Source organism: Homo sapiens, chromosome 6 (genome assembly GCF_000001405.40).
Source record: "Homo sapiens chromosome 6, GRCh38.p14 Primary Assembly".
Lineage (NCBI taxonomy): Eukaryota > Metazoa > Chordata > Mammalia > Primates > Hominidae > Homo > Homo sapiens.
In genome coordinates, this window is record NC_000006.12 from 2,830,968 (window position 1) to 2,852,643 (window position 21,676).

Consider the following 21,676-nt stretch of genomic DNA (forward strand, 5'->3'; position numbering starts at 1 on the left):
CATTTTCCATTCTTTTGCCTTTTATCATATTAGTCTTCCTGGGAGAAACTATGAATAATTTCTTTGAACTTTAAAATTCACAAATTCTCTCTTTAGCCATCTAATTTTTTGTTAAATCTTATCTACTGAGTTCATTTATTATTGTATTTTTGAGCGCTGGAATTTCTGTCTTATTTTGATTCAAATATGCAGTGTCTCTTTTAAGTTTCCAATTATCTGCTGAAATGTTAAACCTTGTCTTTAATCATCTTGATCATAGAAAACAGTGCTCTTTTCTAGTTTGTGTGTGACAATTCTAATATTTGGAGCCCCTGTACTGGTGTTTCTATTGTCTATCTTTTGTGCTGGTTTTAGTTTACATTGTCACGGCTCCTCAACTGTCCAATTACCTTTGATTATGTGCCGGATATCATATTATAAAAGCTGATGATAAACATGATTTGAGGTTTACGGGTAATTTTCCCCAAAATATGATTTTTGTTTGCTTCTGCAATGTGCCCCTGGGTAGCAGCAAACCAGGATGAAAATAATCTACTTCTAGGGATTGGAAAGTTCTGGGCTGTCCAATGACTTATAGCAGGGCTGCATTCTGAGCTGACTCTGTCATACTCATAGGGCATAGCTCTTAGGATGCCAAACAAAAGCAGAGGCAGTATCATGGCGCCCCCACTCTTGACAGGCTCAAACTCTGTCTACCACTTCTCATTCCCCTCTTCTGGACTGGCAGATGGCCCTGGGGCAGAAGTGGCCCCAATTTCCAGATTCACTTTTCTGAATTTCCAATTTGTTCTGGATCTTGGCCCAATAATTCTTTATGTTCAGATTAGCCCTCCCTTGCCTTTGGGCTGATGCTCGTTTTATTTGTTTGATTTTTAACTGACTTCAGAGGCCTGAGGTAACTATTTCACCATTACATAAATTAGATGCTCTCCACATAAAATACGCATTGGATTCTAGTCTCTGCCCTGGAACTCACCAATTGTTTTGACCTTCAACAATTTACTTATAGTCTATAGGCCTGTTCCCTCATATATAATTTGAGCGGGCTCACTTGGGCCCCTACAATTCAGTTTCTACACAATTAACATGATTTACTCCAAATCAGAGTGGATTTTAGGATGAGGAACCAAAAGAGAAGACTTACAGAAGGCAGAGTTTTTCCTGAGAGTGAGAAAACCTGGAATATGGTAAGTATTTTAAGAAAGCGGGAGAAAAGAAAGTTTGTTGGCAAAAGAGTTGCTAAAATTTTGTTGTTAACATGTGGAATTCCTCTCTACCAACAATGTTGTAAGGCCAATAATCCCCACTTGCAGTCTTAACTTGTCTAGGGATAGGGGGCAATAAGAAGAGGCCTGAGACCAGTCTAGCTTGCAGAATCCTAGGACGTTTTATTAATTCATGATGCCCACTATCCTTGTGGGAGCAAGAATATGCGGCGTTTCAAGCTCCATTCAAAGAACTACATTTGACAAAGTTTTATATCAGTCCAAGAGCCCCCACCCCATCTCCCCACACAGCCTTGGAAGTCAAGAGCCTTAATCAGAAAACACATGAGAAGGCCAGGCATGGTAGCTCATGCCTGTAATCCCAGCACTTTGGGAGGCTGAGGTGCGCGGATCACCTGAGGTCAGGAGTTCGGGACCAGCCTGGCCAACATGGAAAAACCCCATCTCTACTAAAAATACAAAAATTAGCCAGGCCTAGTGGTGCATGCCTATAATCCCAGCTACTCAGGAGGCTGAAGCAAGAGAATCACTTGAACCCAGGAGGCAGAGGTTGCGGTGAGCTGAGATCGTGCCACTGCACTCCAGCCTGGGTAACAGAGCAAGACTCTGTCTCAAAAAAAAAAAAAAGAAAGAAAGAAAGAAAAAGAAAAAGAGAAAAGAAAACACATGAGAAGGTGGCTAACAGTAAAACCTTTGTTCAGCAGTTTATCTTACTACATGGTTATTTTTGTAGACTCTTGGTATCTTTTATCCTAAGACACCCACTTCTTGATTTCATGCAGCGCCACATGAACTATATATTATACATAAAGAAGAACAAAAAAGGGAATGCAGGTTATAACCATTGGCCCTTTAATTGAAGAGTCTAAAAACTAGAGGTCTGTAACAGAATACTAATCCTGCAGAACAAGGGACAGAAAAGTCAGGCGAGGCAAGCTTGTCTTCGTAACCTGGGCTCTCAATTGGGGTGCTCTCTTACATTTCAATTGAATATCTGTTTTTAAACCTCCCTTCAACAGTCAGGGTGTCTGTCTATTTTGTGGCTTCCAAAATTCTAACTGCAAAATAAATGACCATCTTATCATGTTTTCCCATGGCTATCAGGAGGATATAGCAATTTTATAGATTACTACATGGTCAAGAATCTACGCATCGGATGTATTCTTTTCTTCTTCTTTACTTGATGCATTCAAAAGCAACCACTGGATTTTTTTCAATGTAAAAAAGAAAAATAGATACCCATGCCAAAATTCATGGGTGTAAACAGCCAACAGAGCCAAACTTACAAAGAAAATGAAAGACTTGTTTCTGAACAGTGGTTTTATTGGTAAAGATATAAGACATATTGGCTCTATTAAAAACTCAGGTAATAAAGCACTAAGCTTGATTTTTGTATTGCTACAGTCTCTTTCTTCTAAGGGGAAGAAAATCTCCCCAAGAATAGGATGCTACCTGAGGAATTATGCCGAATAAAGAAAAGGAATGGATGGTCGGCAGTGAAATTTTCTTCGGGCATCAACATGCAGAAAGTTGCGATGCCTGCTGTGGCAGCTGCCGCCTCTGTTCCCTCTTCATTCACTTCCACAAATGACTTGTGGACAATTTTTGATATAAAAATATCTCTGGCTCCTGACATGCCAGACAGATCAGCCTTGCTACTGTTAAAGAGATCCTGCACACCTAGGCGGGCGAGGTCGGAGTTGAGAGTGTAACTCTCTTCCAGTTTGAACCTGGGCAAGCTGACATTAACTTCAATGAAATCGAGATTCTCAGGTTTAGTCCACTCATGCAACTTTTCCAAAGTCAACTGTTCCTCAATCTGCAATTAAAAATGAGGCGAAAGAGGAAGTGATATCAATTTTACATAAGTAAGGCAATAAAGTATTATTGAATCAATGGACCCATAATATCAGTTGCTAGTTAGTTTCCTTCATGTTTTGTGCCAAAACAGATTCCATTTGGAGCATTTTATTTCATTATGGCAATTGGTGAAATAGGGCAGAGGTGGTGTTCCAAGTCATCAAAGGTTCAAGGGATTTGTACATTGGGTCCATCATCCACTCACCCACCCATCCACCCATCCATCCACCCATTTGTCCACTCATCCATCCATCCATCCATCCATCCATCCATCCATCCATCCACCCAGCTACCCAGCAACACAGCCACCCATCCATCCATCCATTTATTCACCTATCTACCCACCCACCCATCCAACCATCTATCCACCTATTCATCATCCATCTACCCATCCACCCATCCATCCATCCATTCACCTATCCACCCACCCACCCATCCAACAATCTATCCACCTATCTATCATCCATCCACCCATTTACTCATCCACCCATCCACCCATCCATCTACCCATTCATCCATCCATCCATTCATCCAGGGTTTACTAAACCCCTACCACAATGGATTACAGTGATAGGTCATGACAGCTGCTATTACTTCCAGGTTGAGTAGTGCTAGAAGAAATTTAAAATATTTCTTCTATTTAGTCTGAATCCCACTGAAGCTGAAGTAATATCTAATAACTTTAGCTCCTAGGTAAAAATTTTAAAGGCAGATTATGCACTGGAGCTAGTTCCTCATCTGAAATGTGATGTGGACATTACTTATATCTACCTTATAGATTGTTGAGAGCATTAAATGAAATGATGTATATAAAGTGCTTGGCCCATAGTGCTACATAAATGTCAGCTATTATCATTACTATTGTTATAGCTATTGGACTGGAATAGAACCATCACTCTACTTCTTCTAATGGTGCTGATAATTCCTTTTAAGAGGCTAGAGATTTTCACTTTACAATCAGAAAAAAAACTAATGCAAAAATACAACCAAAAGAAAGGCCACATTGATTGTTATACAATGTATTAAAAGTCTGTACATGCAAATGATTAACATTAGACCCCCTTCCTGATAGCAAGGATGATGAATAGGTGGATAGGGAGGAGACGGAGAGCACAGAGCAGGCTAGAGTCCCTACATATAATGGAAACCTCATGCAAAGATCATACTAGTAAATAGGCCTAACATGTCACATGAGGCTTTTTCTGTCTTGTACCCATTGAAAATTTAATTCACTATCTATATGAATTGTGATGAGAACAAACAGTGTAATAATAGAATTTTATAGTACGTGATGAAGATATATGCTACACTATTTGGGGCTTTTCAATCTTTTTCCTCAGTAAAACAATCCTCATCTTACTGTAATTTCCTCTAAAGCTAATTCAAGAGCCTTTCCATGAGCTGCCACTAACCAGTATTATATTTAGTATAGATCTTTAATGACCCCATCACAAGTGTCCACTGAAAGTAGCTGGCCATCTTTCTTGAAAAATGAAACGTTAGCCGGGCACAGTGGCTCACAGCTATAGTCCCAGCTACTCAGAAGGCTGAGGCAGGAGGATTGCTGGAAGCCAGGAGGTCAAGACCAGCCTAAACAACATAGTGAGACCTTGTCTCTATAAGTAAATTTAAAAAAAAATTAACTCTGGGCTTTAGTGTAGTAAGTGTTGATGGGCTACATTTACAAAGGAATGACAAACTACTGGAAAATGCACCATCAGTGAACACTTAACAAGCACCTACCTACCATGCGACACACACATGCAAGAGGAACCACAAAGCATGAAGCCCAGGAGCCATACCTTCTTCAGGCCCGTGGACTCGTCCTCAATGTCATCCGGCAGCAGGATGACCATGCTGAGCTCCTCGCCTTGGTAAGGCAGTTCCAGCACACGGCACTTAAGGTCCTCGATGTAGCCATATGCAAATTTTTTCTTCTGATACATCATTTTCACAGTTTTTCTGTCTTTCTGAACAGTTTTAAAAAATCACTGAAATTATTCTCTGCATTCTTTTAGAGCAATGCATGACTCTGTACAGTTACCTCACCTCACCTTATTCAATCTGAATGGTGCATTCGTCGTGGCTTCTTTCATGAATTTATCCTTCCAGTTTCCCTTGAAATAGATGGCATTTACTAGCACAAGTTTGGTCATGTTATCAACCATGCCCGAAGCCAACAGTTCCGGAATTTTTCCTAAAAAAAAATCAAGTTAGCGTAAAAAAAATCCAAATCGGAATTCCAAATTTGAACTGACAATATATTAGCACGGAAATGCAATTCAAATATATAATTTCTACTTAATTTTCATTTAACAAGATATTAACTTAGGAAAGCCCTACTCACTAACATGTCTCTACTTTAAGTATAACAACCTGTGGGGCAGACAGACCAGGATGACACACAAACTTCCCACAAGGACCTGACATTTTAAACAAGTCAAATGTGCCGAAAGACAAAAGACAGGAAAATTCTCCTTTTCTGGACTGTATGATAAACAATGAGCCTTATTTTGTAACAACCATTCTTTTTTAGAAAAAAAAAATTCTTAATGAAGATATCTTTAGTCATCAGTAAATCACTTCTTCAAATCGCTGAGTAGATGCCTACTCTCACAAAAAAAGGTTTAAACAATATCCAAAAGGCAGAACAAGACCAAGCATGGTGGCGCACACCTGCAGTCCCAGTGCTTTGGGAGGTGGAGATGAGAAGATTCCTTGAGCCCAGGAGGTCAAGGCTGCAGTGAGCCACGATCGCACCACTGCACTCAAGCCTGGGCGACAGAGCAAGACTCTGTCTCTTAAAAACAAAAAACAAACAAACAAACAAAAAAACCAGCAGAACATACTCCATGGAAATAAAGGTCACCTTCGTGACCATAAGTATGGCTGGGAACAATTCCCATAATGGAAGACAGGTCTTCTGGAGTGGGTTGACTAATACAGGGCTATGTAAGAAGAGAGATGTAGCAAAGAAATAAATTGCACCCTAAAAGCAAGTCAGTCCCCACCTACCACAACTTTTTTACTGGACAAGATGTTGGCAAAAAATTTACAACCACAGTAGTTTGTGAATATTGATTTCAGGTATTTCCATGAAATTCCAGGACATTTCTTTCCATATGAGTATTAGGTAATTTTTGGCAGGCTGAATTCTCCTCAAAATTTTAATTCCTTTTTTGCTGTATTCAGTGTTGGTTTTAACTTTATTTTTTATTTTTTATTATTTTTATTATTTTTTTTACGACGGAGTCTCGCTCTGTTGCCTAGGCTGGAGTACAGTGGCATGATCTCGGCTCACTGTAACCTTTACCTCCTGTGTTCGAGAGATTCTCCTGCCTCAGCCTCCAGAGTAGCTGGGATTACAGGTGTGTGCTACCACACCTGGCTAAATTTTTTGTATTTTTAGTAGAGACAGGGTTTCATCATGTTGGCCAAGCTGGTCTTGAACTCCTGACCTCAAATGATCCGCCCGCCTTGGGCTCCCAAAGTGCTGGGATTACAGGCATGAGCCACCGCGCCTGCCAATGTTGGTTTTAACTTTGAAATGCAACTTTAAAAGTTTTGGGGAGCTGATGAGAAAAAAGGATTTAGCTGCTTGAGTTAAATCATGTTTAAGTTTCCACTCTGGTGAACTTCGAACATGTGAGAGCTGTCCAGCAACGTGCAGTGCAGACTTCACGCACCGGCAGCGTCCTCTGACTGTAACCACGATGTGCGCCAGGACTGTGGGAGCTGGGGAGGGAATAACTGCAGGTAGGGAAGGCGGACTGAGGAAACGAATGACATGACCAGCGCATAATGATTCCATTCTGCCCAGGCTCTCACCTTCTGTCTGTCCTTTGACCCACTGGTTTATGGTCTTCCTTGCATCTTCAGAGGCATGCTGAAAATCCACACTGGCCAGGTCAGCACCATATGTTTTCTGAGTCGAAACCAAGAACTCCTATTAAAAAAAAGGAAAAGGAAATATATATATAACTCCTACTACATATAGAAATTGTTTTCTAAAATCCCAAAAAGCAACAGAAATTGTCCTAAAAGGCTACAATTCCATGTAACACAAAATTTCTAACTCTTATAGTTTTTCTTATAGTAGTAAAAATCATTTAACATTAAATTTACGATCTTAGCCACTTTTAACTGTGCATTCCAGTAGTGGTAAGCCTAACCCTTATACTGTTGTTGTTATATAGAAATTACCACTCTTTTCTGAACTTTGACTAAGATTTCACAAACACTGATTGTACTCTTGCTTCAGTAAAACCTCCAAGAGCTATCTTTTCACTAAAAAGACTGTAACACAAAATCACCATGTCAATTAAAGTTTGCATTCTGTCGTGTTTGCCTTCCATATTGTTTTTGCCATGTTTGCCTTCTGTATTGTTTTTCTGAAAGTTTACAAATATTAAAACTGACCTCCATGACTTGATTGTGCTGGAAAATATCTGCACTGTCTAGTGGGGTTTTAGAATGTGAAGGGCAAAGTACTTACAGGAAGGAAATTGTAAGTTTTCTCTCCATATAATCTATTAGCAAGTTTCAGAATATAAGACGCTCCACGTTTGTTGATATCAGCATTCAGACTCTGGAATCTTGAATGAACCTCTTCAACCGTGTTGAAATGGAAAGTCTAAAATAAAGAAAATCTTCTTTCTACAACCATTTATTTTGAAACTATAAAGTGATTCCTTGGTGTTTCCTTCTATCACATTAAATTAATGTGTTTTTATTACTAATTATTGATGATCCCAAACCCAATACTTTATTAATTTGTCATTGCAGAACAAACAATAGGAAATCCAAAATTTATGGCTTCGTGAGACAGAATGTTTACAACTTTACACATTGCTTTTACATCACTCTTTGTTACACTTGCAGTTCCACAAATGTGGGTGGTTAAGATACTAAATATTTATATATAAGTCTGCCTTTTCCAAAGAAAATAATAAATGGTATGTTCATATTTATATTCTGTATCAAATATAATTTTACTGAAAGTTCTCAGAAATAAGCAGTAAAAATAGGATTCATCCTCTATTCAGAACCACAAAGATAGTACAGACTGAAGCTTTTAAAATTTTATTACCCTATTAACATCAGTAACTCACTTATTTTAAAATAACTTCCTTAAACTTAACATTCTGGCAAAAGTTTAATTCCCCATGTATCAGTTACAAATCAAGAGGCCCTTTGTGGTTTTATGAGACCTAGGCTGGTTCCTTTATGATTAAGACACAAAGAACAAAATTGCATAGGGTACGAAGTCCACATTACTCACCGAGATATGGAATGTTTGCACTGTGCCTATGCTCCATCTGCTTTAATGGAAATGGGGGAGGAGTCCTTAAAACTATTCTTTGCTGAGGTTTTAAAGTCCCTGGAAAACCTCAAGCTAGGAACTGATATAACCCTGCAAGAAGCAACTAACAATTAGTAACAGAGGTTTTTTTTTTTTAATGGATTTAAAAAAAACATTTAAAATGCTTTCATATCTAAAGTGATGAGTAATAGAAGTTTCGCAGCCCCTTGAACTTGAATCCCAGGCTGCACCTTGCCAAGGAACAGGTGCAGTGTAATTTGCGGCAGGTATGTTAGAAGAGCCTCCACTTTTACCACTCCTTTCTGCTGAGCTTAGAGAGAGAGAGCTAGAGTTCTCTTCTCAGAATTAAAGAGTACCAAGCACAGAAGTCCTCTCCATGTCCATTATGGACAAGAAGGAAGGCTGGGCATGAGAGTGACCTGTCACATCGCCAAGGGCTGGGTCCCGCCCCTGAAGCTGCGGGTCTCCCCCTCACCTCCCCTGCAGGGCGTGCTATGCCACAGCCCACTGAGCCATGCGCAGCACCCTGGGACTACAGAACCACAGGGTCACTTTTTCTCTTTTCCTTGCAAAAAAGCAATGCCACTATCTCCACTATAATGCATTCCCTATGTCTTATTCCTCTCATTATGCTTGAAAGTAGTGTTATATAACAGGCAATATTTATGAGTTGCATATCATCATATGCAAAGCAAAAACTGGAAGATGCTAGCTCAGGAGGATGTAGTATGCCTTTCAGGAAAGCTGTCAGATTCATCCACTGGAACAGAAGCCTCGCCCTGCAGGGATTTTTGTCAGCTTTGCTCACTGCTGTCTCCTCAGCAATACGAAAAACAGTTCCTGGTACGTGGTAGGTACTTAGGAAAAACCTGATGATGAATGGAAGCCTGCATACAAGTGTGACTTTTCTGAAAGTCTGATCTCATAAAAATACAGTTCTGAAAACACAAGGTAAGAGCTCAAAGGCACAACCTTTCCATGCAGACTGTCCATTCGTAGGGAGATGGGAGGAAAGCAGACCCTTTTTTTTGTTTCTGCTGACCTTGGACAGCTGTGCTGCCGTGTTACCTCTGGTCCCCAGAAAAACCATGGCCATAGCAGATGAAATGCTGAAGGGAGAGATGAAGATGTTTCCAGCCGGATTGTTCTCACTCAACGCCAGGAACAGGTCCAAGGCGAAGCGGGTGTTTGCTGAGCTCAGCTGCTCCATGGTGAAAACTGCAACACAGAACAGGGTCCTCATGGTGCCCACTGCCCACGCCAGCAGATTAGGCAGCACTATTTCTCCAGAAGCTTCCTCAATTTCTGCCAACCGCCCTGAGGCATCCTGGATCTTGTACTTTCTCCCCGCTTTTTTATTCCAGCAGGGCAAGAACACTTTCCCAGGCCCACAAATGTGGGACCATTCTGGCCAAGGACTCAGCAGTTATAGGGGATTTTAGGGCACCCAGGGTGCCCTAAAGGGCTCTGACCTTGCAGACAGGTGAGTCTGGGGGTGGGGCGGGGGTAAGGCAGGCCCCAGCTACCCCAGCTTTAGTGGGGTGGGAGGGCCCACCCAGCCCTGGGTCTTCCCAACCTATGTGTGGGAGCGCACGTGCTTCTGAGCCTTTGATTCAAGTCTCTGATTCATTGGGCAATGAATCCATTGCCTACCTTCACCTGAACTAAGAGCCTTCTATCAGAGACTCAGCTACCTACTATGCATTAAAACTCCAGCAAAGGTATCACTGTAATTATTATAATAATATAATTCTTCCTTATTTTTGAGGTTCAAAAGGTATGAGGTCCAGTGCCCACAGTCTCAGAGCCGGTGTAGGATGTGCCAGTTTGGAAACCCACCACAGTCCAGGGTCTGGCCGTGCAGCGTCCCATCCGCCACCCACTAGCCCATCTCGATCTCCACTCTCAGAGCCCTGATTTCCCCCGAGGACAGGCAAAGAAGAACCGTGCTGGCTGCTCGGCATGTAAGCACAAAGCTGATTTCTCCTTGTTGTGAAATCGTCTCTAGAATCGCACGGGGTTCCTCCTCTCTCTCCCTGCAGCTGCAGATAGGAGCCGCGGCCTGGCCCTGGGCTGCCTGGAAACCGTCACAAACAGCTCTGGGAGGAAGGGAATTCAGGGAGAAGGGACAACATTCTGATCTCAGGTTTCAGTCTTGCCTTCCGCCTGCATCTGTCGTCCTCCCTCCCTCCCTCCCTCGCGGGCTGGCCCGGCCTGTACCCAGGCGGGGGCGGGGGATCAGAGGTCGTCTGTCTCCGTCGGGGCGCCCGGAAGGGATGGGGGCGCGAAGCTGGCGGGGAGGGCGAGCGCAGGGAGCTGCGGGTCTGAGGGGCCTGAGCCTGGGGGGTGGGGGGTGCCGGGCTGGAAGCTGAGCGAGGGAGCCTGGCCTCTCCCCGCGCCCGCCCCCGCGCCACCGCTCCGAGGCCCGGCCTTACCCGACAGGCCGCCGAGGCACGCTCCGGGCTCCGAGCTGGGTGCGAGGTCAGGAAGGAGGCACCGAGGGCCGCTGCTCTTATAGCAGGCGGAAGCGTCACCCGGGCCAGCAGCCGCGGGCGGGGCGGCGGCCCTTCCCGGTGACTGCGTAGGAGTCCGAGCTCCCGAGGTCGCCTAAGTGCAAGCAGAAGTGAGCGTGGCTTCCGGGCAGCGCCCTCCTCAGGGGCGCGGCTTCTTTCTCAGTTCAAAGCCTTTCCCCGAATCTCTGGCAAGGACCTGAAAAGCTTTTTCTTACTAAGGTGTGAATGACTGAGACGACATATTGTGACACCTCTTAGAGGGCAAATGACTCCCTTTGAGTCCCATCTATATTGGGAGCTTTCTTTGAGAGAAGGAAGCAAATTTGGGGATCTTGCACAGGGAAAAAGAGGGGCCCCCAGAATCAGATGAAACAGAACCAGTTCCAAACACCTGCTCTCTGTTTCCAAGATGACAGCTTGCTGCTGCGTCCTCAATGGTGGAAAGTGGAAGGGCAAAAGGGGCCAAATCTCATGTGAAGTCTCTCGTATAAGGGGCCAATCCCATTCATGAGGAAGGTGCCCTCATAATCCAGTCACCTCCTAAAGGCACCACCTGTTAGTATTGCATTGAGGATTGTTTCAGCATGAATTTTGCAGGGAACACAGACATTCAAAGCATAGCATTCTGCCCCTGCCCTCCAAATTCATACCCCTCTCACATGCAAAATGCATGCATTGTATCCCAGTGGCCTCCAAAGTTCCAGTATCAACTTTAAAATGTAAGTCCAAAGTCTCACCTAAATATCTTCTAAATTAGAAAGGCATAAGATTCAAAGTACAATTCATCCTAAGTGAAATTCCCCTCCAGCTATGAGCCCGTGAAATCAAATAGGTTACAGGCCTTCAAAATACAGTGATGAGACAGGCATAGGACGTACATTCCCATTCCCAAAGGGAGAAGCAGGCAAGAAGAAAGGAGTATCTGGTCCCAAGTAAGTCCAAACCCAACAAGGCAAACAGCATTAAATCTTGGGGCTTCAGAATAATCTTCTTTGATGCTGTGTCCCCCATTCCGAGCACAGGGGGGTGGAGACTGGGTCCCCTAGTGTCCAGGGGATCCACTCCCATGGATTTGCCAGGTGCAACCCATGCAGCAGCTCTCACAGGTTGAGGTCTAGGCTCTCCCAGGATAGACTTGCATGCTGGTGGCTGGACAGTTCTGGGTTCTCAGGGACAGCCCTGTTCCCACAGCTCCACTAGATATTACTCTATTTGGGGCTCTCTGCAGTGGCCCCAATCCCACTGCTCCACTAAACATTGCCCTAGTGAGGGTTTTCTGCAGCAGCCTCACCTCAGTGACAATTCTCAGACTGGGCCCCCAGGGTCCCCAACACATCCTTCAAAATCTAGGTGGAGGTGGCTGTGTCTCCACAGTTCATGCACTCTGTGCACCTGCAGAGTTAGCATCACGTGGACTCTGCCAAGGCTTACAGGAAGGGTGGCCTGACAAGGGCCTGCATAAGCCACACGTGGGATGGTGGCCAAAGAGTGCTGCACCAGAATGTGGGGGGTGGGGGGGCAGAGACTTGAGGCAGCCCTAGGCAGCAAGCCCCAAGGTTCCATGGTGTCCTGAGTCCTCCCTTAAAACTATTCTGCCCTCAGGGTCCTGGCACTCTGGGACAGGGATGAGAATCCAGAACCAGTAACCTCAGAAATGCCTTTGGGTTCATTCTTCCATTGTCTTGATAAATAGCATCTGGCTTCCTTCTACACATACTCATCTCATTATCAAATGTGAACCTGGCAGCACTCTTGGTGTTCCCTCCCAAACATGCCTTTTCATTCTTTACATGGCCAGGCTGAGAATTTTCCAAAACTTTAAGCTCTGCTTCCCTCTTGATTATAAACTTCGTTTTTAATTCATTCTCTCTGCTCACATTTTACTACAAGCAGTCAAGAGAAGCCATGCTGCACTCTCAACGCTTTGCTCAGAGATTTCTTCCATCAAATATCCTAGTTTATTGCCTTTAAGTTCTGCCATTCAGAAAACACTAGGACATAGACACAATTCAGCCAAGTTCATTGCCACTGTGTAACAAGGATGACCTTTCCTCCAGTTTCCTTTTAAGATCTCATCAAAAGTGTCTTTACCATCTATACTTCTAACCGCATTCTGATCAAGACCAGACCACTTAATTAATCTCTAAGATGATTTAGGCTCTCCCTACAGCTCTCCTTGTCTTCTGAGCCCTCACCCTTAATTTCCCTTAAAGCTCTGTTTATGTCTATACAGGCTTTTTCCAGCATGCATCTCCAAATTCTTCCAGCCTCTACCCATTACTCAGTTTCAAAGCTGTTTCCACATATTTAGGTATTAGTTATAGCAACATCCCATTCTCAGTATCAATTTCTGTCATAGTCCATTTGTGCTGCTATAAATACCTGTGATTGGGCAATTTATTAAAAACAGAAATGTATTGCTCACAGTTCTGGAGGCTGGGAAGTCCAAGAATAAGGCATCCACATATTTGGTGCCTGGTGTGGGCTGCTCTCTGCTTCCAAAATGGCACCTTGTTGCTGCATCCAAGGGGGAAATATACTGTATCTTCACGTGGCGGTGGGAGGGATGGAAAGGGATGAACGCACTCCCTCAAGGGCCCAAATCCCACCCATGACGGTTCTGCCCTCATGACTTAAGCACTTCTTAAGGCTCTACCTCTTAATACTATCACATTGGTGATAAAGTTTCAACATATGAATTTTGGGGAGACACATTCAGCCCATAAAACATCTGTTCTGTCAGGTGAGGACACAGCATTTGTCCCTTCTGCCTTTCCCACCAAATGAGAACACCGCAAGAAAATGCCCTCATCAGACACTGAGTCTGCACCTGCAGATCTCGAACTTCCCAGCCTTGGACTTCCCAGCCTCCAGAACTGTAAGAAATAGGTGTCTAGTGTTTACAAGATGTTTTGATAAAGCAGCAGGAAAAGACTAAGACAGGGGCTCTTCTTGAGAAGCCGGCCTTGTTCTTATCCCTCTTGTCTAGGAGAAATGTGTGGACACGGCCACATTACTGCCCCCGAGTCTTCCTAGCCCATCTCATCCAACAATAATATGGAGAAGTGTCAGTCTCCTAAGCGTTTTTCCTTATTCTCCTCCACCTTGAATTATTCCTGAATTATTCCTCCTGCCTCCAGCTCCTGAAAGTAGAACTTAGACTTTTTCTGGCTCTTCAAACGAGCTGCTACTGATCACCCAGAACTCTCAGAAGCATCTTGAGAATTTTTTTCTTCACTCTTCAAGTCATTTTGAATTAGCTTGTTTTCTTGTTCAGTTTAAGAAACTGCTATTAAGTGAATTGTGACACTTTTAATAAACTTGCAGCATGGTGAAATTAAAAGTCTCACAATAGCGTTTTGTAAATATGTTAAATATAATTCTTGTGGGTAAATTATTTCCATGTTGTGCTCGCTGGGTAATATATTTTATTTTAGGTACTAATATATTTTATTTTATTTTATTATTTTATTTAGGTAAAATAAAATAATATATTTTCTTTTAGGTAATTTATTTTAGGTGATTTATTTTAGGTAATATATTTTATTTTATCCTCAAAAGATAAAATGTATAGTAATCCACTAGCAGTTCAGCAACTGGAAATATTTTAAACTCAAAAAAAGCAATTTTTGTGTGCCATAGCCTGTATTTAGTATAGCAAAGGAGAAATATGAAAATAATTATTACATTTGTTTTTAATAAATAATTTTTTGAGCCTGGGCAACATAGGGAGACCCTATCTCTAAAAAACTTTAAAAATTAGCTGGGTGTGGTGGTACACACCTGTGGTCCCAGCTACTTGGGAGGTTGAGGTGAGAGGATCACTTGAACCCAGGAGTTGCATGAGGCTGCAGTGAGCTATGATCGCGCCACTGCACTCCAACCTGAGTGACAAAGTGAGAACCTGTCTCAAAAATAAAAAACAAAAAACACCAAAAAACTAATTTGTAACTTATAAACACAACTAGAAAAATAACACAAAATCATTTTACAGATAATGTTTTCTTATAATAGTCTGAGAATTTTGGGTGAGACTAATTTCATGACAGTGAATAATTTTGGCCCCTGGACAGTGGTTGCAGATAACAAGACGCTTCCAGGAAAGTCTAAAATCATTTACATTTTCCTATCTTAGGCAGCTTACGTGATTGAAATGAGAGAAACAGATAAAATAATCTCTCAGGGTTTCTTCTTTTTTCTTTTCTTTTCTTTTTTTTTTTCTTTTTGAGACGGAGTCTTTTTGTGTTACCCAGACTGGAGTGCAGTGGCACGATCTTGACTCTGCTCACTGCAACCTCCGCCTCCCAGGTTCAAGCGATTCTCCTGCCTCAGCCTCCTGAGTAGTTAGGACTACAGGTGTGCATCACCATGCCCAGCTAATTTTTTGTATTTTTAGTAGAGACAGGGTTTCACGATGTTGGCCAAGCTGGTCTCGAACTCCTGACCTCAAGCAATCTGCCCGCCTCAGCCTCCCAAAGTGCTGGGATTACAAGCAAGCCACCGCGCCTGGCCAGGGTTTCTTTTAGTCCTTTCATTTTCTGCCAAATAATGGAAGAAACCTAGCATTAAAATTTCAGCTGTGTAACACAGCTTCATCCTCCAGAGGGCAGAATTCCATCATTTATAAAATACAAATCACTGGCTTCCGCTGAGACATAAATGCCAGGACATCACGTAATTTCTCCTTTTCAGTCCAGCTTGGTCCTCCTCACTGGGGTACCTAGAATGTCTATAATTTAATTTTCTCTTGCAAATATCCATGTAAGCAGTCCACTGGGGAGTTCCTCTGACCTCGCATCCTTCTTTCCCCCTCATTTCACCAGCTTCCTTTCAGTGTCTCACCTTAGAAGGCTCATTTTCTTTCAGGTCTTTGTCCCTGATATTGCCTCTTTCTAGATGACTCACCCCTTCTTCTAATTCTGGTCTCGGCTCAATGCCACCTCTTCCCTGAGACCTTCCCTGGCTTCTGTTCTCATCCCGAGTTACTTTCTGTTTGCTTTGTAGCCTCAGTCACCATCAGAAACTGGTTGCCTATCTCCTTCAATAGAACATAACATCAGGAGAATAAGGCTTTGACCCAGTTGTTCACTGCTGCGTCCCCAGTATCTAAAACACCTGGCATATAGTAGTTGTTTAGGAAATTTTGCTGAATAAGTGAATGAAGATTATAGCTCAGAACAAACCAAGCCATGTGGACAGATGATACAACATTGCTCAGTTCAGTTTCTTGATGAATGATAAGGAGAATAAAAAGCTCTCTAAACTGCATGGATAGAATAACTATAATTTGAATGAAAATGGAGCCCCAACAAGAGGAATTCAGGTCCCAGTATAAACAGCAAGATACAGGAAGCAAAGTACATGACAGAAACGATCTGCATGGCATAATCATGGTGCAAAAAAGTTTGCCTGGGAATTCAGAACGAAGAATGAGGCGTTCACCGAAGCCTCCGATTATTACTCTGAGGACAAGATAAACAAGAGTAAGCTTATATTGTAATAAAGGATTGGCCGGGCACGGTGGCCCACGCCTATAATCCCAACACTTTGGGAGGCTGAGGCGGGTGGATCACCTGAGGTCAGGAGTTCGAGACCAGCCTGGCCAACATGGAGAAACCCCGTCTCTACTAAAAATACAAAATTAGCCAGGCGTGGTGGTGTGCACCTGTAATCCCAGCTACTCAGGAGGCTGAGGCTCGAGAGTCGCTTGAACCCGGGAGGCGGAGGTTGCGGTGAGCCAAGATCGCGCCACTGCACTCCAGCCTAGGCAACAAGAATGAAACTCCGTCTCAAAAAAAAAAAAAAAAGGATTGTTAGCTGGCTATAAAAATGACCTAAAATTGCCAGGTGCGGTGGCTCATGCCTGTAATCCCAGCACTTTGGGATGGCGAGGCGGGTGGTTCATCTGAGGTCAGGAGTTCGAGACCAGGCTGGCCAACATGGTAAAACCCTGTCTCTACTAAAAATACAAAAATTACCTGGGCGTGGTGGCATATGCTTGTAATCCCAGCTAGTTGGGAGGCTGAGGCAGGAGAATCGCTGGAACCCGGGAGGTGGAGTTTGTAGAGAGCTGAGACTGCGCCACTGCACTCCAGCCTGGGCAACAGAGTGAGACTCTGTCTCAAAAAAAAAGAAAAAAAGAAATGACCTAAAACTGTGGCTCACTTGGGAGGGAGGTCTCTCAAGGTATGCCACAGGGCTCTGCCTGTGTGTGGTCCTGTCTCACCCTCTCACAAACAACTTTGATGGAAGCATAGAGGGCCACAAAGAAGAAATTTTCGAATAGCACAAGCCTATTGCCGTGGATGACAGAATCAAGATTTGAAAGAACTCCACTAGGTGAAATGTCATCCCAGACCAGTATGAAGAAACGTAATAATGACGATATAGATGCTTTAAATTTAGATTTAAAAAAAATCAATTCTGCCAATGCCAGAAGTGGGAGGCCTATTTTAGTAGCACTTCACATGAAGAAAAATCTGAAATTTTAACTGACCACAAAGTCAATATTCACCAATATGGCGAGGAAGGTTTTAGCACTGGTAGAAGCATAAGCAGCCACATCCAGTAAGGGGGTAGGGGCCATGCCCCACACTCTGGCCTGACCTGTTTAGAGATGGCTTTCAGATGTGGGTGCCACCCATAGTCAGAGGGAGATGAGGGTGATATTCTGTGGCAGAATTTCGGAAGGAGTTGGATTTTCTTCATTCAGAGGATAAGACTCCGAAATGAGAGAAAACCATCAGGTAGATCTGGACAATACAATACGGAAATTGGAAGGAAGCTTTTGTGGCAAGAGGACCTGGGTCTGAATCCCAGTGCAGCCTCTTACTGGGTGGGTCCTTGAGGTGAATTTCTCATATCGTCACAGACCCAGCCGCATCATCTATGATTGGAGATAGAAATGGCAATCTCCTAAGGTTTTTGGGTAGATTAAATGAAATGTCTATAAAGGTTAGGATCAATCGAGATACAGTCCAGAAGGTGGTTAAGAGCATTTGCCTCCCCTGTAGTACACGTGCAGTAACTGGTTGTTGGAGCTCAGGCTGCCTAAGTGTGTTTCAGGTATGGCAACAGGAAGCTGAATGCAAATGAGAGCACGTCCCAGGAGCCACAACCTCTAGCCCCACCCACTAGCGACGCACAGCACAATTCGCGACAGACACTTACCAACCAGTAAGACTGGATGAGAGACAGACCAGAATGCTTGTTCCAACACACCTGGGTGAGGAACACCTAGTCAACCTTCCACAAGTGTAGGTGCCGTCGCATGGAGCACTGTGTCATGGACAGCAGGCTGCTTCTGCATGGCTCTGGGGACTAATGTGGATGTGTCGGAAGCAGTGTGATGTCCAGAACTTTCTCATACACAGACGGGAAGCCCTCCATGGAAACGCGATGCTCGTTTTTGTCACCGAAGCCAACTTGATAATCTACTCAGGGATAGTGAAGAGGAAATTTCTACTTTGGACCAAAGAATGCATGAGTTAACATCAAAGTTCTAAATGTTGTTCTTAATTCTAAATTGTCTATGAATTCAGCAAGTTGGGCTACATTTTTGTAAGGAACCCGCAACAGCCCAGCACTCTGGACAGGTTCAAGGGACAAAGCAGTGGCAGAGGCATCTGCTTTTTAAAACACCTGGGGCCAGGCGCAGTGGCTCACGCCTGTAATCCCAGCACTTTGGGAGGCCGAGGCAGGTGGATCATCTGAGGTCAGCAGTTCGAGACCAGGTTGGCCAACATGGTGAGACCGCCCCCACCCCGTCTCTACTAAAAATACAAAAAGTTAGCCGGACGTGGTGGTGCACGCCTATAATCCCAGCTACTCGGGAGCAGGAGAATCGCTTGAACCCAGGAGGCAGAGGTTGCAGTGAGCTGAGATCATGCCCCTGCACTCCAGCCTGGGCAATAGAGTAAGGCTCTGTCTCAAAAAAATTAATTAATTAATTAATTAAAAAAAAAAATATATATATATGTATATGCACCTGGGAGCCTTGATGTAGGACTCTGTGTAACAGCTGCATTGTAGGGGATGGCTCAGACCTGAGCTCCACACCAGGGTTCTCAGCTCCCACCCCAAGTGTTGACCTGGGGATCTGCCAGGGGACAGCCTTTGGGACCCTTTCCCCGACTCTTCTGACATTTCCTTTACAGGAAAAGCAGAGCAGAATATGTAACTCATTTCATTTCCTTAAGTACTCTCTCCTCAGTATATGTTTTTTAATAGTTTTTAATTTTTATTTTACTTTTTTGAGACCAAGTCTTGCTCTGTTGCCCAGGCTGGAATGCAGTGGCGTGATCTCAGCTCACTGCAACCTCCGTCTCCCAGGTTCTAGCAATTCTCCTGCCTCAGCCTCCCAAGTAGCTGGGATAATTTTTTGTATTTTTTAGTAGAGACAGGGTTTCGCCATGTTGCCCAGGCTGGTCTCGAACTCCGGACCTCAGATGATCCACCCACCTCGGCCTCCCAAAGTGCTGGGATTAGAGGTATGAGCCACCGCGCCCAGCCTGTTTATGATATTATGAATTTCAAGGCTACTTAGAGTTTCAGTAAGTTATAGCTAAAATGTAAAAATTTAAGTCCTCTTTTTTTTTCTTTCTAGAGACAGAGTCTTTTTCTGTCACCCAGGCTGGAATGCAGTGGTGCCATCATAGCTCACTATAGCCTGGACCTCCTGGGCTCAAGTGATCCTTCTGCCTCAGCCTCCTGAGTAGCTGAGACTACAGGTGTACATGCCACTGTGCCTGGTTAATTTTTTTTTTTTTTTTTTTTTTTTGTAGAGACAGTGTCTTGCTATGTTGCCCCAGCTGGTCTCAAATTCCTGTGCTCACGTGATCCTCCCACTTCGGCCTTCCAAAGCACTAGGATTACAGGCATGTGTCAGCCACTGTTTCAGGTCCCTATACTCATTTTAAAAGAGAGAGAGAGAGGGACAAATAAAAGTTAGCCATGTAAGCAGGAATGAACTCAGTGCCCAATCCCTCTCCCCTCTGCAGAGGTCGGGTGGGGCTGAACGTTCTAGCCCTTTAAATATGGACTTGATCTCTCTGGCATGGCCAGCCCCTCTCTTGAAGCTCTCTAAAGGCCCACTTTGAGGCACCTCACTGGCATAAGCTCAGGCATGGTCAGAAGGAGCGCTTTACAAATAAACAGACATCCTTATCACTCAGGAAATTCCAGGAATTTTTGAAGCTCTGTGCCAGGAACCAAGGACTAAGACCAAATATATTTTTATTTTTATTTATTATTTATTTATTTATTTATTTTTTGAGATGGAGTTTCGCTCTTGTTGCCCAGGCTGGAGTGCAATGGTGAGATCTCTGCTCACTGCAACCTCCACCTCCCAGGTTCAAGGGATTCTTGTGCCTCAGCCTCCTGAGTAGCTGAGATTACAGGCACCCACCACCACGTCCGGCTAAGTTGTTGTTTTTTGTTTTTGTTCTTGTTTTTTTGAGAGATGGAGTCTTGATCTGTCACCCAGGCTGGAGTGGAGTGGCGGTATCTCGGCTCACTGCAACCTCCACCTCCCGGGTTTGAGCGATTCTCCTGCCTCAGCTTCCCAAGTAGCTGGGACCACAGACGTTTGCCACCACTCCCAGTTAATTTTTGTATTTTTTTAGTAGAGTTGGGGTTTCACTATATGTTGGCCAGCCTGGTCTCAAACTCCTGACCTCAGGTGATCTGCCCACCTCGGCCTCCCAAAGTGTTGGGATTATAGGCGTGAGCCACCGTGCCTGGCCAATTTTTTGTATTTTTTTGTAGAGACGGGGTTTCACCATGTTGGCCAGGCTGGTCTTGAATTCCTGGCCTCAGGTTATCCGCCTGCCTGAGCCTCCCAAAGTGCTGGATTACAGGCATGACCCACCAAACCCAGCCCAAATATATTTGCATATATATATATTTTAATATCCCACGCCTACACTCTGGGATAACTCAGCTCTTACAGGCAGTAATCATGGGTCAGACCTGCCATTATCCAGTTCAGCCCATTTCATTTGACAGACACCTGGTGAATAGAGACATGCAGGGACTCTTGTCCACATTTGCCCAGTTGGCTGATAGCACAGTGTACAAAGTCTGTCTGCAGCAGGTCATAATTTCACAGCTCTGCCACATGCATGTATATCACTGTACCAAGCGTGTTCACATGGTATGGTGCTGACACATGTTGACGGAATGTGGTACAGACCCTCTGTGTGAAGTGTGTTCACACAGTGCGGTGCTGACCCTCTGTATGAAGCGTGTTCACACGGTGCGGTGCTGACTCTCTGTATGAAGCGTGTTCACCTGGTGCAGGACAGACTCTCTGCATGAAGCATGTTCACACAGTGCGGTGCTGACCCGACCCTCTGTATGAAGCATGTTCACACGGTGCAGTGCTGACTCTCTGTATGACACATGTTCACACAGTGAGGTGCTGACCCTCTGTATGAAGCATGTTCACGTAGTGCAGTGCTGACTCTGTATGAAGTGTGTTCACACAATGAGGTGCTGACCTCATGTATGAAGCATGTTCACACAATGCGGTGCTGACCCTCTGTATGAAGCGTGTTCACACGGTGCGGTGCTGACTCTCTGTATGACACATGTTCACACAATGCGGTGCTGACCTTCTGTATGAAGCGTGTTCACACAGTGCAGTGCTGACCTTCTGTATGACACATGTTCACAGAGTGAGGTGCTGATCTTCTGTATGAAGCATGTTCACATGGTGCAGTACTGACTCTCTGTTTGAAGTGTGTTCACATGGT

General features: G+C 44.0%; 1 protein-coding gene across 7 annotated transcripts, besides 5 other annotated features; it reads right to left on the reverse strand.

Annotated features, from left to right (window-relative positions):
- Positions 1 to 1,364: 1,364 nt before the first annotated feature.
- Positions 1,365 to 10,896, reverse strand: SERPINB1 (serpin family B member 1). Of its 7 annotated transcripts, none has more exons than NR_073111.2 (8): positions 10,845 to 10,896; positions 9,452 to 9,627; positions 8,368 to 8,499; positions 7,582 to 7,719; positions 6,915 to 7,032; positions 5,141 to 5,283; positions 4,889 to 5,056; positions 1,365 to 3,045 (listed from the first exon to the last, which is right to left on the reverse strand). NR_073111.2 is itself a non-coding variant. In XM_011514333.2 (8 exons), exons 3-8 carry the CDS (start codon positions 9,617 to 9,619, stop codon positions 2,641 to 2,643), a joined length of 1,140 nt encoding a protein of 379 aa, XP_011512635.1. In that variant the 5' UTR covers positions 9,620 to 9,627; positions 10,249 to 10,508; positions 10,845 to 10,896; the 3' UTR covers positions 1,365 to 2,640. The 7 variants fall into 7 exon arrangements, 5 of the variants coding, with proteins under 5 accessions (XP_011512635.1, XP_047274225.1, NP_109591.1 ...); XM_011514333.2 differs by lacking the exon at positions 8,368 to 8,499 and adding an exon at positions 10,249 to 10,508; XM_047418269.1 differs by lacking the exon at positions 8,368 to 8,499 and adding an exon at positions 10,249 to 10,508 and having other exon boundaries at positions 9,382 to 9,627.
- Positions 10,791 to 10,840: a silencer, noted in NCBI's record as "silent region_16832". NCBI's record gives its function as "represses an Ori minimal core promoter by ATAC-STARR-seq in GM12878 lymphoblastoid cells {active_cell/tissue: GM12878}" and the evidence as "EXISTENCE:reporter gene assay evidence [ECO:0000049][PMID:35858748]".
- Positions 17,868 to 18,162: an enhancer, noted in NCBI's record as "tiled region #12426; K562 Activating DNase matched - State 5:Enh, and HepG2 Activating non-DNase unmatched - State 23:Low". NCBI's record gives its function as "activates a minimal TATA promoter and a strong SV40 promoter by Sharpr-MPRA in K562 cells, with weaker activity in HepG2 cells {active_cell/tissue: K562 | HepG2}" and the evidence as "EXISTENCE:reporter gene assay evidence [ECO:0000049][PMID:27701403]".
- Positions 17,868 to 18,183: a biological region, named in NCBI's record as "Sharpr-MPRA regulatory region 12426".
- Positions 17,941 to 18,183: a silencer, noted in NCBI's record as "fragment chr6:2849142-2849384 (GRCh37/hg19 assembly coordinates)". NCBI's record gives its function as "represses an EF-1alpha promoter that drives an FKBP-Casp9 reporter gene in an ReSE screen in HepG2 liver carcinoma cells {active_cell/tissue: HepG2}" and the evidence as "EXISTENCE:reporter gene assay evidence [ECO:0000049][PMID:32094911]".
- Positions 21,375 to 21,564: an enhancer, noted in NCBI's record as "active region_23873". NCBI's record gives its function as "activates an Ori minimal core promoter by ATAC-STARR-seq in GM12878 lymphoblastoid cells {active_cell/tissue: GM12878}" and the evidence as "EXISTENCE:reporter gene assay evidence [ECO:0000049][PMID:35858748]".